The sequence below is a fragment of the Homo sapiens genome, chromosome 15 (assembly GCF_000001405.40).
Source record: "Homo sapiens chromosome 15, GRCh38.p14 Primary Assembly".
Taxonomy (NCBI): domain Eukaryota; kingdom Metazoa; phylum Chordata; class Mammalia; order Primates; family Hominidae; genus Homo; species Homo sapiens.
Window position 1 is genome coordinate 89,589,124 of NC_000015.10, and position 16,530 is coordinate 89,605,653.

Consider the following 16,530-nt stretch of genomic DNA (forward strand, 5'->3'; position numbering starts at 1 on the left):
CGTGTGGAAGGGCTAGGCTGTGGTGCCAGGATGGGAGACGGAAGGAGCAGTGAGGAGATTCCAGTGGGCAGACTGGAGTGACCTGGGGGTCTAGGGCTTCGCCTGACGGGAAAAAGCAGCTATGAAGGGGAGCATGAGATTGATTCCTGATGGTTTCAACGCAGCTAATGGTGCTGAACCTGTGAGTTTGGGGGGTAAGAAGGGTGGGTGTTTGGCCCACCCCCACTCCTGCCCATGTCGGCGTGGAGACTAGAAGGAGGGCATCTAACTCCGAGGGCCTAGGGCTCCCTCCAAAGCCCTGCCCAGGCGGCCAGTGGAGGGTGGCCTTGTTTTTAGCATGGGGCTCCTGCTTGACATTTGCTGGAAGAGGTGCAGGTAACTCTGAGGGGCACTCTCTTTCCATGCAGAGGGAGGCTTGAGACTTGGAGGCCTGAGGCAGGTATTTTTGGCCTTTCTCCCCTAATCCAGCATACAACGACTTGAGAAGAAATCATGTCATGTTTATTCTCATAGACCTTTACTGCACTTGTCTGAATTTTGTAATATAACAGCAAATGCAATTATAGGCATTTATGCTGTCCTGTGATGTGAAGTTTCTTTTGCTTGTTTAAAAAATTCTACAAAATCTTACACTAAAAATAATAGCTTTGGGAAAACTACAGTTGGGGCAGACTTCTCAAAATCTTTGGTAGTGATAAAAACTAAGACAATCCTGGGTGTGGGGACACATGCCTGTAATCCCAGCTCCTCAGGATGCTGAGGCAGGAAGATCGCTTGAGCCCAGGAGTCCAAGACCAACATAGCAAGACCCTGTCTCAATTAAAAACAACAAAAAAAAGTGCAATCCTAATAAAAATTCTAGTTTGATTAAAAGACACATTAAATCCATAATAAGTAAAGTCCATAATAAATATACCTTGTCCTTTAAAAGAAAGGTGAAGATGGCATGATGGAAGGGTTGAGGCTGTGGTATTATGGAGACAGGGGCCAATGACAAAGATAGGGAACTATATCATAAGCACTTTCAAGAAAGTGCACGTGGCCAAACAGCCAAGGAGAAGAAAAGGAGAAGAATACGGGTTGAAAGGACGTAGTGTACAGCACTGCGCTCCTCTGGCTTGTTGTATTTAGTTATGTTTGTGCACTTTGAATTCAGCTGCTACTTGGTGGTATAAAATATTAGCACATTAGGAATGATCACATAACCAAAGCAACGTAATATTTTGTACTACTGTCACTACCTTACTTACCAATTGTGTGTAGGCTATTTGTAGAAAATTTTGTATTGTAGAACAGACTGTATCTTGACTATTTATATAGTCTTGGAAGCAGCTCAGAAAACTGTATTTTGGAATCTGGTAAAGGAAGAACTGCAGTATTTTACCAGTACTCTCTGCTGTAGCATGGCCCACAGTTTCTTCCAGGTTATAAATCAGTGTGCCGGCTTATTGTCCAGTCTCCCCACCATGCTCCATCTGGGTGAGGTCCTATTCATGCATTGGTACCTAGCCCAAATACTGCATTCTCCATGAGACCTTCCTTGCCCATCTAGACGGAGTTAGCATGTGCTAACATTTATACGTATCTCCATGACTTCACAAGAGTGGATCTACTCTTCCTATACTGGGAGCTCCTTTCGAAGTATGCATTGTATTTATCTCTGAATTCTTTCACTGATAGAAAGCCTAGAACTTGGTTGTCTCAATAAGTTTGAATACATTTTAAGTATTTGGGTTTTTTTCCCCAAGACTTCATTAATGTCTAACATTTCATTTGTCTGGGGTCTTAGATGGATCTCTCAGAATTACAGAGTTCACTGAAATTTCTGTTACTGTTCCCCCAACCACCTCCTCCATCAGGCTTATTTTAAGAGAGCCTTCTACCCTCACACTCCCCAATACAGAGCCACATCTTCTTATTTCCAATTTTCCTACTCAGTGCAGCAGAACTGTGATATTCTGCAGTTTTGTTACTGTATATTTATTCTTGTACAAAGCCAATTTTTGTGTGTGTGTGTGTGAGACGGAGTCTCGCTCTTGTCACCCAGGCTGGAGTGCAGTGGCGTGATCTCGGCTCACTGCAACCTCAGCCTCCCGGGTTCAAGCTTCTCCTGCCTGAACCTCCCGAATAGCTAGGAATACAGGCACCTGCCACCACGCCCAGCTAATTTTTGTACTTTTAGTAGAGACGGGGTTTTGCCATGTTGGCCAGGCTGGTCTCAAACTCCTGACCTCAGGTGATCCACCCACCTCGGCCTCCCAAAATGCTGGGATTACAGGCGTGAGCCACCGTACCCAACCATACAAAGCCATTTTTAAGAACAGGACCAGGCACGGTGGCTCACACCTGTAATTCCAGCACTTTGGGAGGCCAAGGCAGGCGGATCACCTGAAGTCAGGAGTTCGAGACCAGCCTGACCAACATGGAGAAACCCCGTCTTTACTAAAAATAAAAAATGAGCTGGGTGTGGTGGCACGTGTCTGTAATCCCAGCTACTCAGGAGGCTGAGGAAGGAAAATTGCTTGAACCCGGGAGGCGGAGGTTGCGGCTCATGAGCCAAGATCGTGCTGTTGCACTCCAGCCTGGGCAAGAGCGAAACTCTGTCTCAAAAAAATAAATAAATAAAAAGAAGAACAATATATATTTTTAACCTGTTTAGAGGAACATTTCAGAAATGAGAGGATTTATAGCCAGTAATAAGAACAAAAGACTTTAAATTGTGTCTGTATGTTTTTCAGTAGCATTTTTTATTTACCACATAGGCCTGTAGCAGTTTGTGGTGCCGGAGAACAAATGTTAACTGTGCACTTTGTATGTCCTTTGGAGGGATGCAGTCAGTCCAGGGGAGGAGCAAGTGCTTAGAATTCTCTGCTTTGGTTCTCATGCTGTTTCCTCTCCTGCCGCTGCTCCTTTGCTCCAATAGCTTCTCCTGTTCCAGAGTGGGCCCAGCAGGAGCTTGGCCACACCACTCCCTGGAGTCCAGCTGTTGTGGAAAAGTGGTTTCCTTTCTGTAACATCAGTGGTGCCAGTTCCGATTTGATGGAGTCATTTGGGTAAAACGTTTTTATATCTCTTGAATATTGATTATTAAAATCAACGTTCAGTTATCTGCATTTTTTTCTTAACAGACCACATTCTCTGAGTATAGTCTAATAATATTAAAAAGTAGTTACAAAAATAAAATACTCTCATACTTAATATATATTGTGAGAGTATGTTAGCTAGATAATATGTTAACAATATATAAATATATACCTGCCAAAAATTCTTTAAAATTTACCAAAGTAATTCGTCAAGTTAAATATAAATAAATACTCCCTTAAAGTGAGAAAATATTTATAACTAAGTATCAATGCAAATAGAAAACAGCAAACTTGAATAATGCAGCTGAATTTATACTTAAAGAAGTATTTGCAGACCGTTTTTGTAAGGAAAAAAGTTAACAACCGATTACTAAGAATCCAACATGAGAAGTAAATAAGAAAGTAACCTCCACCCTACAAAAGATAACAACAGAAATAAATAGAAAACAAATAAATGTAAGTGATCAAGAGAAACAAAAGATGGTTCTTTGAAAAGCCAAATAAAATAATCTATAGCAAGATCAAGCAATTAAAAGACGAACAATATTAGAAATGTAAACGATATGGCAGAAATTCAAACTATTATTAAGAGGTATGGTTGACGTTTATTTTCTCCACACATATATCCATTCAGTTGTTCCAACACCATTTGCTAAAAGACTATCTTTTCCCACTAATAACTGTGGTACCTTGTCAAAAATCAACTGGCCACCTTTGTGCAGATTGATTTCTAGACAGAATACAGTCCAGAAACTATGTTAATACCACATTATCTTCAATATTGCATTATAGCAATACCATATACTGTAGCTTTATAGCACCAGTCACTAAATCAGGTAGTGTAAGTCCTCTAAACTTTGGTTTCGTTTTTTTAAAATTTTTTTGGTTATTTTAGATACTTCGCATTTTCATATAAACTTCAGAACCAGCTTGTCAGTTTCCACGCACACAAACATCTGTTGAAACTCTAGGAGTGCATTGAATCATAGATAAATTTGGGAAGAACTGACATCTTAACAATGTTGAGTCATCCGATCCATGAACATGGTGCAGCTATCCATTTATTTAGGTCTCTCTTTAATCTCCCTCAGTGTTTTGTAGTTTTTAATGTACAAATGTGGCCCATGTTATTTTTTAAAATTATCTCTAAGTATTTTTATGAGATGTAAATATTGAAGAGTTTGAAGATAGTATGATTGTCTTTATAGAAAATCCAGGCCCGGCATGGTGGCTCACACCCGTAACCCCAGTACTTTGGGAAGCCAAGCCAGTGAATCTCTTGAGGCCTGGGGTTCAAGACCAGCCTGACCAACATGGTGAAACCCCGTCTCTACTAAAAATACAAAAAAATTAGCCCGGCGTGGTGGCACATGTCTGCAGTCCCAGCTACTTGGGAGGCTGAGGCACAAGATTCACTTGAATCCAGGACGCGGAGGTTGCAGCCAGCCAAGATCGCGCCACTGCACTCCAGGATGGGCGACAGAGCACCACACACTTAGGGAGGATTAATCTGCTTCATATTGGCTATATGAATGAAGCTGATAGACCCAACACATATTCCACCCTGTGATATCTGTTCAACTAATATCACCGTAACTTTCTTGCACTTTTTAATCAGTTATATCAGATAATGGAAAATATTAAAATACAAATAACACATTTTGAATGTTGTGCCATTTTCATAATTTCCTTAATGACAGATATTTAGCTCTAGGTGGAAAAGGATTTAATAACTAATCACCCCTCCTGCCTGCCCTACTTCCTCCTCTTCTCATCAATCCCAAATTAGTTTATTACAATGTGAAAGAATTATTCGAAGTCATTGCAATACTTACTACAATGTGTTAACATCATTTTGTACTTTGATATATGGAAACTGAGTAAAAAATAACTATGGAAGCTTGAAGTGAAATAGTTGCCATAATTAGACTTGCATCCTAATTCATGAAGAATCCTATTAATAAAAGTCAATATTATATGTAATGGTTAATGGTTTTGTGAACAAGACAGCTTTGGTTCCTGCATTCGTTCAAATCGAAAATGAGAGGAGGGACATTTTCTCTCCTAAGAAAATATATTTTTGAAGGCATCTTGTGGGGACATCTTTTTGGTTAGCTTTTTAGAGGATAGTGGGTATTTTGGTGTTATTTCTAAAGCATTTTGCAAAATTAGAATGTTGGTTTTATTCTAGACATCTTGACTTCACAGGTTACTACAGGCTGCCTCAGCTAATAAGGAAGAGTCTTCCAAAACTGAAGGCGAATTAATACATTGCCTTGCCGAGCTCTACCAGAGAAAATCTCGTGAAGAATCCACTATAGCTCATCAAGAAGACAGCAAAAAGAAACGTATGTACCTAGAAAGGCTGTTTCTTAAGGCATTCTTTTTTGAGACTGTATGTTTTAAAAGATGGGCATTTCCTGAAATGAGGTTGAAATGGTAACTAAATAAAGAAGGGCAAATTTTTATATTTAAATTTTAAAATAATTACATTAGTTCAATAGTGATTTTTAAAAAATCAACCAGTCTTATCTGTCTAATGAATAAGCCATCTTCATTTTTAATTATGATAGAAATTCAAATACAACTTTGTGTTCTGCTTATTAGTATTTTTTCTTTTGCTACCTTGCCTTTTTAGATATTATTCCATCTCATTGCTTAACTAAATTTACAAAATTCTCATGTTGTTGAACATTTAGATTGCTTTCAGTTTTCATCATTATAAATAATACTGTAGTATACATTATGCGTATAATTTGTTTTTTAAGTAATTACCTTAGCAGAAGTTTCCAGGAACCAGTTACTGTGTCAGGGTATGAAAACTGGCTCTTTATGTAGATTGCTAAATTGTCATTCAGAAATTTTCATCACCATTTTTCGTGGCCATTGGGTAACACCAAAATAAGTCTGTTTGGCATTTGCCTTATGGGAAAACCATCCATTGAGATGTTTAGTTCCAATCCAATCACATTGAGATGTTTAGTTCCTAAACTTCGGTTAAAAGAAAGGTTCTCTTTCTACCCTGTGTGTGGGCAGAAAGAGATGCAAGAACTTCCTAATTCAAATCATTCTGGAGGGATATGCTTCATTTTGATATTCTTTCACAGTAATCTGAATTAAAGTAGTTCTTCTTTCCACAGAAGTGGAAGGCAATTTACTTTCCCTCCTCTGATGTTGTTTTGGTAGGAGGGGTCCCTCGTACTCCAGTGAGACAGAAGATGAATACCATGTGCCGTTCCTTAAAGATGTTGAATGTCGCAAGGCTGAATGTGAAGGCCCAGAAGTTACATCCAGATGGCAGTCCGGATGTGGCTGGGGAGAAAGGAATCCAAAAGATACCTAGTGGGAGAACAGTGGATAAATTGGAAGACAGAGGAAGAACACTAAGAAGTTCTAAACCTAAAGGTATTCCTCTTAGTCTATAATTTACTCTTTTATACCCCGCTTTTTTAAAAATAAAATTTAATCGTACCCTTAGTTTATTGACTATCTGCTACATGCACAAAAAGGTGTTATGGTGAATACAGTAAATAATAAGATAATGTGCTATTCTTAGATTTATGATCTAGCTACAAAGATAAGGGAGGCGGAGGTTGTGGTGAGCCGAGATTGCACCACTGCACTCCAGCCTGGGAGACAGAGCGAGACTCTGTCTCAAAAGAAAAAGAAAAAAAGAAAGAAAATTCTGAGGTGTAAATTTTATGCTGCTTTACAGATTTTTTTTTTTCCTGTGGAATGTGAGAGCCATAGATGATAATCAGTTTGAATGGGACAGAACACCTTTAGTGGGCTAGTAAAGGTGTGTGAAATGTGCTTGATACATGCAAGGGAAGGCTGAAACAACAGTACTGAAGACAGTGTGGCAGGAACATAATTTCTGGACTAGATTCTGTCTAGCAGTAGACCTGCACAATAGTGGGCAAATGATTTTTGACAAAGATGCCCCAATAATTCCGTGAGAAAGACATAATCTTTTCAATAAATGATGCTGGAACAACTAGATACCTTTATGGAAACAAAATTAGACCTTACTTTTAATAGTATTTTGTATTCCTGCTATTTTTAATATTTATGCCTTCCATCTCTCTCTCTTTAATTGCTCAATCTTGCTATAGAGTTTTCTGTTTTATTCCTCTTTTCTTTTTTTGTTGTTTTTTGAGACTGAGTTTTGCTCTTTTTGCCCAGGCTGGAGTGCACTGGCATGATCTTGGCTCACTGCAACCTCTGCCTCCCGGGTTCAAGCGATTCTCCTGTCTCAGCCTCCCGAGTAGCTGGGATTACAGGCGCATGCCACCACACCCGGCTAATTTTTGTATTTTTAGTAGAGACAGGGTTTTATCATATTGGTCAGGCTGGTTTCGAACTCCTAACCTCAGGTGATCAGCCTGCTTCGGCCTCCTAAAGTGCTGGGATTACAAGTGTGAGCCACCGCGCCTGGCCTTATTTGGCTTTTCAAAGAACCGTCTTTTGTTTCTGTTGATTGCTGTTGTTGCTTTGTTTTCAATTCATTTCTGTTCTTTATGATTACCTTCCTACCTTTATTTTTGGGGTTTACTCTCTCATATTACTTCACGTGTTGGACCCTTAGATAGTTAATAGTTTTTAATTTGTCTGCTTTACAAAAATAATCACTTGTCTAAAGTCTGTACATTTTCTCTTTAAGTATAACTAACTGCATTATGTATTTACTGTTTTCTATTTTCATTGATACTTATTTATAAATATTTTCTGACATCCATAATATAAGGGAGTGTTTTATAATTAGCTTTTAATATTTTTGAACTGTGCTCAATGTGGTCTGTAAGATTGATTCTTTAATATTTGCTGAAACTGACCTAATGTGCACTTGAAAATAATGGGTATTCTCTAATTGTTGAATATCTGGTTTTATACGTGTCTGTACATCAAGTTTATTAATGTTTGAATATTCAACATTTTTAGTAATTTTTTTCTGCTGCTTTTATCTATTGCTAAGATGATTGTATTAGTCTTCCACTATTGTATTGTCTTTGCTCCTTTGTCAAAGATCAGTGGAGGCCAGGTGCAGTGACTCATGCCTGTAATCCTAGCACTTTGGGAGGCTGAGGCGGGCAGATCACCCGAGGTCAGTAGTTCGAGATCAGCCTGGCCAGCATGGTGAAACCCTGTCTCTACTAAAAATACAAAAATTAGCCAGGCGTGGTGGCAGGCGCCTGTAGTCCCAGCTACTTGGGGTTACTGAGTCATGAGAATCGCTTGATCCCGGGAGACAGAGGTTGCAGTGAGCCGAGATTGCGCCCCTGCACTCCAGCCTGGGTGACGGAGCAAGACTCTGTCTCAAAAAAAAAAAAAAAAATCCGTTTACTATATTTATGTAGGTCTATTTCCAGGCTCTCCTGTTACATTGATCTCTCTATTCTTTTGCTAATATCACACAAACTGTCTTGATTACTGTAGCTTTATAGTAAGTCCTGAAGGTTGGTACTATCAGTCCTCAAACTTTGTTTTTCTCATTCAATATTGAGTTAGTTATTCTGGGTCTTTCGCCTCTTCATATAAACTTTAGAATCAGTTTGTCAATATGCAGAAAATAACTTATTTGATAGGGATCACATAGAATCTATAGATCAAATTGGGAATCTGAAATCTTGACAGTATTGAGTCTTTCTTGCTGTGAACATGGAATATCTCTCCACTTATTTAGTTCTTTGATTTTGTTCACAGAATTTTGTAGTTTTCCGCATATAGATCTTATACAAATTTTGTTAGATTTAATACCTGGGTATTTCATATTTAGGGGGGGTGCTAATTTAAATGGTAATGTGTTTTTAATTTTAAATTTTGCTTGTACATTACTGGCATATGGGAAAGCAATGGACTTTTATGTATTAATCTTGTATCCTGCAAATTTGCTATAATCACTTGTTAGTTCCAGGAGTTTTTTGTTTGTTTGTTTGTTTGTTTTTTTTAGTAGAGATGGGGTTTCACCGTGTTAGCCAGGATGGTCTCGATCTCCTGACCTCGTGATCTGCCCACCTCAGCCTCCCAAAGTGCTGGGATTACAGGCGTGAGCCACCACACCCGGCCCAGTTCCAGGAGTTTTGTTGTTTGTTCTTTCAGATTTTCTAATCATGTCATATCACCAAAGACAGTTTTATTTCTTCCTACCTTTAAATTGTTTGTTTGTTTGTTTTGAGACGGAGTTTCACTCTTATTGCCCAGACTGGAGTGCAATGGTGCGGTCTTGGCTCACTGCAACCTCCGCCTCCCAGGTTCAAGTGATTCTCCTGTCTCAGCCTCCTGAGTAGCTGGGATTAGAGGCGCCCGCCACTACGCCCGGGTAATTTTTGGTATTTTTAGTAGAGAAGAGGTTTCACCATGTTGGCCAGGCTGGTCTTGAACTCCTGACCTCAGGTGATCCACCCACCTCGGCCTCCCAAACTGTTAGGATTACAGACGTGAGCCACCACGCCTGGCCTCCTACCTTTAAATTTTTAACACTTAAACTTGGTATACAGAGCCTTAAAATTAATCACTTGGCTGGGCATGGTGGCTCATGCCAGTAATCCTAGCACTTTGGGAGGCCAGGGCGGATAGATGGCTTGAGTTCAGGAGTTCAAGACCAGCCTGGGCAACATGGTGAAACCCTGTCTTTACCAAAAATACAGAAAATAAGCTAGGTGTGGTGGCACATGCTTGTGGTCCCAGCTACTCCAGAGGCTGAGGTGGGAAGATCACTTGAGCCTGCCTGGGAGGTGGAGGTTGTGGTGAGCCGAGATTGTGCCACTGCACTCCAGCCTGATTGTCAGAGTAAGACCTTGTCTCAAATAAAATGAAATAAAATTAATCACTTATCTCTGTAGTTTCTCAGTCTCTGGACTATTGACATTTTAGACCAGATAATTCTTCGTTGTAGGGCTGTCCTATGTATTGTAGGATGTTTAACAGCATCCCTGGCTCCTACATACTAGATGGCCAGCAGCCACCCCCGCCCCCACCACCATCAGTCATGACAATCCAGACAAGGCCAAATGTTCCCTGCAAGGAAATATTTTCCCCAGTGGACAACAACTGGCCTAAGTAATACAAGGACTTGAGCAAGATATGATTAATCCATTTTATTTTATTTTTTTCTCAGATTTTAAAACTGAGGAAGAGCTGCTATCATATATACGTGAAAATTACCAAAAGACTGTGGCCACAGGAGAAATCATGTTGTATGCATGTGCTCGAAACATGATCTCAACCGTTAAAATGTTCCTAAAATCAAAAGGCACCAAGGAATTAGAAGTAAGAGGGTCCAGATATTGTTGTTTGTCATGGATGTAGTGGTTGGTTGGTTGGTTGGTGGTGGATTTGGTTAGTGTCTTGGAAAATGTCTGTTATGTCATATGTGATTCAAAAATGGTAAGATAAGTAAGGGAGTAAGTACAGTTCCAGATCTCAGAAGGTGGATATGGTGAACTGGTAAGGCAGAAATCAAAGAGATGGGGTGAGCGGGGATAATTACATATAATTCTCTCCTAATGAAAAGCCTTTCCTCATGTGAGCTATATGTTAGCTGCATGATTAAGCCAGTGGTTTTTAACCCTGGCTATACTTTAGAATCACTTACAGCATTTAAAAAATATATATATGCCAACTAACCGTGGTGGCTCACGCCTGTAATACCAGCACTTTGGGAGGCCAGGGTGGGTGGATCACGAGGTCAGGAGTTTGAGACCAGCCTGGCCAACATGGTGAAACCCCGTCTCTACTAAAAATACAAAAATCAGCTGGATGTGGTGGTAGGTGCCTGTAATCCCAGCTACTCGGGAGGCTGAGGCAGGAGAATCGTTTTAACCTGGGAGGTGGAGGTTGCAGTGAGGCAAGATCGTACCATTGCACTTCAGCCTGGGCAACGGAGCGAGACTCCATCTCCAAAGAATATATATATATGCCTTGCTCTCTCCAGATGAACTGAAACAGATCTCTGGGGTTGGCGCTTTTAAAAAGCCCCCTGGATAATCCTTTTGCACTGGGAGTGTTGCAAACCACTGTTTTAGACCGTGTTGTTGTTTTATTCATGTTCAGTGGCCATCACGGAGCTCCTTCTCTAAAGCAAACAGGAGGATTTGTTTATGATACTTAGGTTTCTTAAGCACTGCTTTATGGAACGTTTCTTTTAAGACACTTTATTTAGGGCAGGCTTGTTTTATCCATGCCCACTAGCTCTCAAAATAACTTTTACCATGTTCTTTTTAAAGATATAAAAGAAGAATATTCACGTCACTTTTTCATTCAAATGAAAGAATAGAGAAGTTTATAAGGGAATATATTTCCCTTTAGTCAACTGTGAAAGAAATTAGAAATAATGACAAGTAACACTATTCTCCTATGTAATAATTTTGTATTTTTAGGTGAACTGCCTGAATCAAGTAAAAAGTAGTCTCTTAAAAACTAGTAAAAGTCTTCGACAGAATCTAGGAAAAAAACTGGATAAGGAAGACAAAGTTAGAGAGTAAGTAACTACCATTTTTTAAAAAATCATCACTCTAAAAGCTGTGAGATTAGCTCGTATCAGTTTAAAATAGATTGTTCGTGACATGGTGGCTCATGCCTGTAATCCTAGTACCTTGGGAAGCCAAAGCAGGAGGATTGCTTGCAGCCAGGAATTTGAGGCCATCCTGGGCAATATAGTGAGACCGTGTCTACCAAAAAATTTTTTTTAATTAGGTGAGCATGGTGGTGTACACCTGTAGCCCTAGCTACTTGGGATGCTGAAGCTGGAGGATTGTTTGAGCCCAGGAGCTCAAGACTACTGTGAGCTATGATCCCAGTACTGCACTCTAGCCTGGGCAACAGAGCAAGACCCTGTCTCAGGAAAAAAAAAAAAAAAAAAAAAAAGATTACCAACTGCATGAAGATGCTTTTGTAGCCAATTCTTTTTTATGTTATAATATGCAGCTTGAATCACCTATTTATCTAATAACTACATCAGTTTTTAGAAAAGGCACTGGCTCTCCTCCTTTTTGGTTGTTGTGTCTTATATAAATAGATCTATGCTTACGGAAGGAGCTTTTTGTTTAGTGACATCCAAAGTAGATATGACCAAGTATTTTTTTCTCTCAAGGTGCCAGCTTCAGGTATTTCTTCGTTTGGAGATGTGTCTGCAATGCCCTTCAATAAATGAAAGTACAGATGATATGGAACAAGTAGTGGAGGAGGCAAGTATATAGTTTCGTGCCATTGAAATACGCCCTAGATGCTTTCAGCTTCCCTGCAGAGGGCATCTATATAGTAACGTTCTAAAATCTCCTTCAGGTGACAGATTTGCTGCGCATGGTGTGTTTAACTGAGGATTCAGCGTACCTAGCAGAGTTTCTGGAGGAAATTTTGAGATTGTAAGTTTGATGGTTACTAACTTAACTTTAAAATTGTTTTGTCAAAACCTATGTATGGTGTTGTCTCTGAATTTTGGAGTTGTAAGGACTACTTTTTAGGCTGGGTGAGGGAGGGAATAGAGAGGGTAAGATGGTAACTGTTCCGTATTCGATCAATCTGTTCCACAGGTATATTGACTCTATCCCAAAGACACTTGGAAATCTTTACAACAGCCTAGGGTTTGTGATTCCTCAGAAGCTGGCTGGTGTCCTTCCTACAGATTTTTTCAGTGATGACTCCATGACACAAGAGAACAAATCACCACTTCTTTCTGTGCCTTTTTTGTCAAGTGCTCGTAGATCAGTGTCAGGCAGCCCTGAATCTGATGAACTGCAGGAACTTCGTACCAGATCAGCCAAGAAGAGAAGGTAAGAGGTCAAAGAATCAAAGGAATTATTTGCACTGTTATAGTTCTGATAAAAGATGTGTTTAAACTACAGTCCAGTCATCTTTGTCCATATAATTTGTTGAACTAATAGCTGCCCTTATGTCTGAATCAGAGAAGCCAACTATTAGAGCTCCTAATAGGAGCATCTGACAATCTTTATATTATCTAGGAAATATATAGTCATGTTTTGCTTAACAACAGGGATACATCCTGAGAAATGCATTGTTAGGCAATTTTTGTTGTACTAACATCAGAGTGTGCCTACCAAAACCTAGATAGTATATATTTTTTCATTTATGTATATTTTTTCATATGGAAAAGCTAATGTTCCAGCATTGTTACTGAATAGCAGTCATTTCCCCTACTTGATCTGTAATGCCAATATCAAGTGTCATTTATTAGGTTTCTATATAGGCTCCATTATAACCTATGGGACCATTGTCATATATGCAGTTCGTCATTGAAGGAAACATTGCATGACTGTATAGTGTTTATTTCCTATTTCACAAAGTCTTCTTTACTGTCCACATGAGGTCTCCAGAAACTAGGCCTTCTATGAAATAAGCTTAGAGTTTCAGCTTTTTAAATTTCCCTTGATGCTTTTCGTTGTTCATAACTGGTTGAATTTGTTACTTTTGAAAATTCTGGGGTGACTTGTTTTATTATAAACCCAGAACAACCTTAAGATAACTGGCTTTTATTTAAATCATATTTTATTTTACTTAGACTCCAGTTCCATTTGAATTTAACTATATATAACCTCTATCTAGTATGTATTAACTATTTCTATTTTTAAAAGGAAAAATGCATTAATAAGACATAAAAGCATTGCTGAGGTTTCACAGAATCTTCGACAAATTGAAATTCCTAAAGTGTCAAAGAGAGCTACGAAAAAAGTAAGTAAACCTTCCAGCTTGAGATGACACAGTAAATAAGAACAAAAAGGCAGTGTCCCTACTTTTAGGAAAATGAACTTTGGAGGATACAGAAATAATATTAAATATTTTTATGAATGTGTATAAAACTATAATCCAAGGAATAAAGAAATATAAACTTGTCAAGAGATTAACAATTTTACTCAAGAGTGTGATAGTTAGAGGTAATGTGAAGAAAAATGGCAAGTAAAAGTTAGGAATGAATTAATTCAAAATCTTTAATGTAGATAGGAAAACTCATAAAACAATAACTAAAATAAGCAAAGCAGTCACTGGAAGAGAATATACAATTGTAAGTGGACTTTGGTTGCATACCAGAAGGTGCTTTTCAATATGTTATATTTTACTTTAATAACAAATTTAGGCCAGGCACAGCGGCTCACACCTATAATCCCAGCACTTTGGGAGTCAGAGGAGGGAGGATAGTTTGACACCAACAGTCTGAGACCAGCCTGGACAACATAGCGAGACCCTGTCTCTACAAAAAATAAAATTAAGAAAAAATTAGCCAGGCATGGTGGCACATGCCTGTAGGCCCAGCTATTCAGGAGTCTAAGGCAGGGAGATTGCTTGAGCCCAGTAGGTCAAAGCTGCAATGAGCTATGGTCGTGCCACTGCACTCCAGCCTGGGTGACAAAGCAAGACTTCATCTCTTAAGTGAATTAATGAATGAATAAATGAATGAATAACAAGTTTTTTGAAAAAGATGATGACCATCATGGAGCCAGGAGGTGGAGTAGTCGCCCCTTATCTGCAGAAGATATGTTCCAAGACCCCCAGTGGATGCCTGAAACCACAGATAGTACTGAACCCTATATATAGTACTGTTTTTTCCTATGCATGCATAAGTTCAATTTGTAAATTAGGCACAGTAAGAGATTAACAACAATAGTAAAATAGAACAATTATAGCAATATAATATAATAAAAGTTATGTGAATGTGGTCTTCCTCTCAAAATATCTTATTGTACTATATTCACCCATTTTGGGGCCATGGTTGACTATGGGAAACTGAAACCATGGAAAGTGAAATCACAGATAATGGGGTACTATTGTTGTTTTTTTCATGGCAGTTGATATAAGGACTTGAGGTTTTTATTGGTTGAAAAAAAAATAAACCTAGCTGGAATCTGTTTACTAAGTAGAATTAATGTCTCGCTGAGGAAAAAAGGGAGACTAAAAACACAATGAAACTTTTCAACTGCATGAACTATCTGAGAAGAGTTAAAATTCAATAAGAACTATCTTTAGAAGCATTAATTATTATAATAGTGGTTTGTTCTGTTTCTAGATATTTGTAGCAGTCCTTTGGAATTGGAGGTGGGATTTCTTTTAAATGGTTAATGGTGTTCACTTTCTTATACTTTGTGAATAAAATGCATATCTTATATATCTCACAATCCTGATTGAAGATTGGAAAATCCGAAAGTGAATGGCCAAAAGTTGCCAGGCCTTTATTCTCACTAGATTTTACAATGATTTGCAGATCTTTCTAGCACACTTTGAAACTTTGGTTTTAGATTGGACAAGACAGTTTTCTTCTCTAAGATCAGAATTAACGCCTGGGCGCAGTGGTTCATGCCTATAATGCCAGAACTTTGGGAGGCCAAGGCAGGAGGAATCACTTGAGCCCAGGAGTTGGAGACCAGCCTAAGCAACATAGTGAGACCTTGGCTCTACAAAAAATTTAAAAATTAGGTATGGTGGTGCACTCCTGTAGTCCCAGCTACTCGGGAGGCTGAGGTAGGAGGATCGCTTGAGCCTGGGAGTTTGAGGCTGCAATGAACTATGATGAAGCCACTGCACTCCAGCCTGGGTTACAGAGAGAGACTCTGTCAAAAAAAAAAAAAAAAAAAAATTGAGGTCAGGATTTGATTGTGGTTAGTAATGTTTTTTCATGTCAAAGTTGGTACCATAGATAAGTGACAATTGTTTAACTGAAAGGACCAGATGTTACATTTTTAAAAGAATAAATCTCAGTTCTCTGAAGGACCAATATAGTTAACTCGGGAAGCAGTGAACTTACAACTTAAGCGTAGACATATAGTATTAATTACATTAATGTATATTAATTTCTTTTACGTATCTTAACTCCAGAAGATCACAAGGATTAAAAAAAAAATATTTGATCCTGCCTTAATACCTTCAGGACATACTCTCCTAGTTTTTCATTCAATTACATGGATTAACAAGGGTTGACAAACTTTTTCTGTAAAGGGCCAGATAGTAGATGTTTTAGCCTTTGCAGGCCATACGTCTCTGCAACATCTATTCAGTTCTGCTATAGTGGAAAAGCAGCTACAGGCATTATGGAAAGAAACGAGCATGACTATGTTTCAGTAAAAACTTTATTTTCAAAAACAAGAGGTGGCCCAGATTTGGTCTGTACACTGTAGTTTACTGAACCCTGGATAGGAAATTGGATGTATGACTTTTATTTTTATTTTTATTTTTTGAGATGGAGTCTCCCTCTGTCGCCCAGGCTGGAGTGCAGTGGCACGATCTCGACTCACTGCAAGCTCCACCTCCCGGGTTCACGCCATTCTCCTGCCTCAGCCTCCCGAGTAGCTGGCGTGCACCACCACGCCTGGCTACTTTTTGTATTTTTTAGTAAAGATGGAGTTTCACCATGTTAGCCAGGATGGTCTCAATCTCCTGACCTCGTGATCCGCCCACTCGACCTCCCAAAGTGCTAGGATTACAGGCGTGAGCCTCTGCGCCC

The 16,530-nt window shown here is 39.1% G+C and overlaps 1 protein-coding gene across 2 annotated transcripts in view; it reads left to right on the plus strand.

The window, feature by feature from the left end:
• Positions 1-16,530, plus strand: part of TICRR (TOPBP1 interacting checkpoint and replication regulator) — a 52,555-nt gene that overhangs the window by 13,655 nt on the left and 22,370 nt on the right. For both annotated transcript variants that reach the window (NM_152259.4, NM_001308025.1), the window contains exons 5-13: positions 2,924-3,053; positions 5,292-5,431; positions 6,270-6,488; positions 10,201-10,352; positions 11,462-11,562; positions 12,175-12,268; positions 12,366-12,445; positions 12,614-12,853; positions 13,673-13,769. In NM_152259.4, coding sequence (NP_689472.3) covers positions 2,924-3,053; positions 5,292-5,431; positions 6,270-6,488; positions 10,201-10,352; positions 11,462-11,562; positions 12,175-12,268; positions 12,366-12,445; positions 12,614-12,853; positions 13,673-13,769 — 1,253 coding nt within the window. The remainder of the gene's footprint in view (positions 1-2,923; positions 3,054-5,291; positions 5,432-6,269; positions 6,489-10,200; positions 10,353-11,461; positions 11,563-12,174; positions 12,269-12,365; positions 12,446-12,613; positions 12,854-13,672; positions 13,770-16,530) is intronic.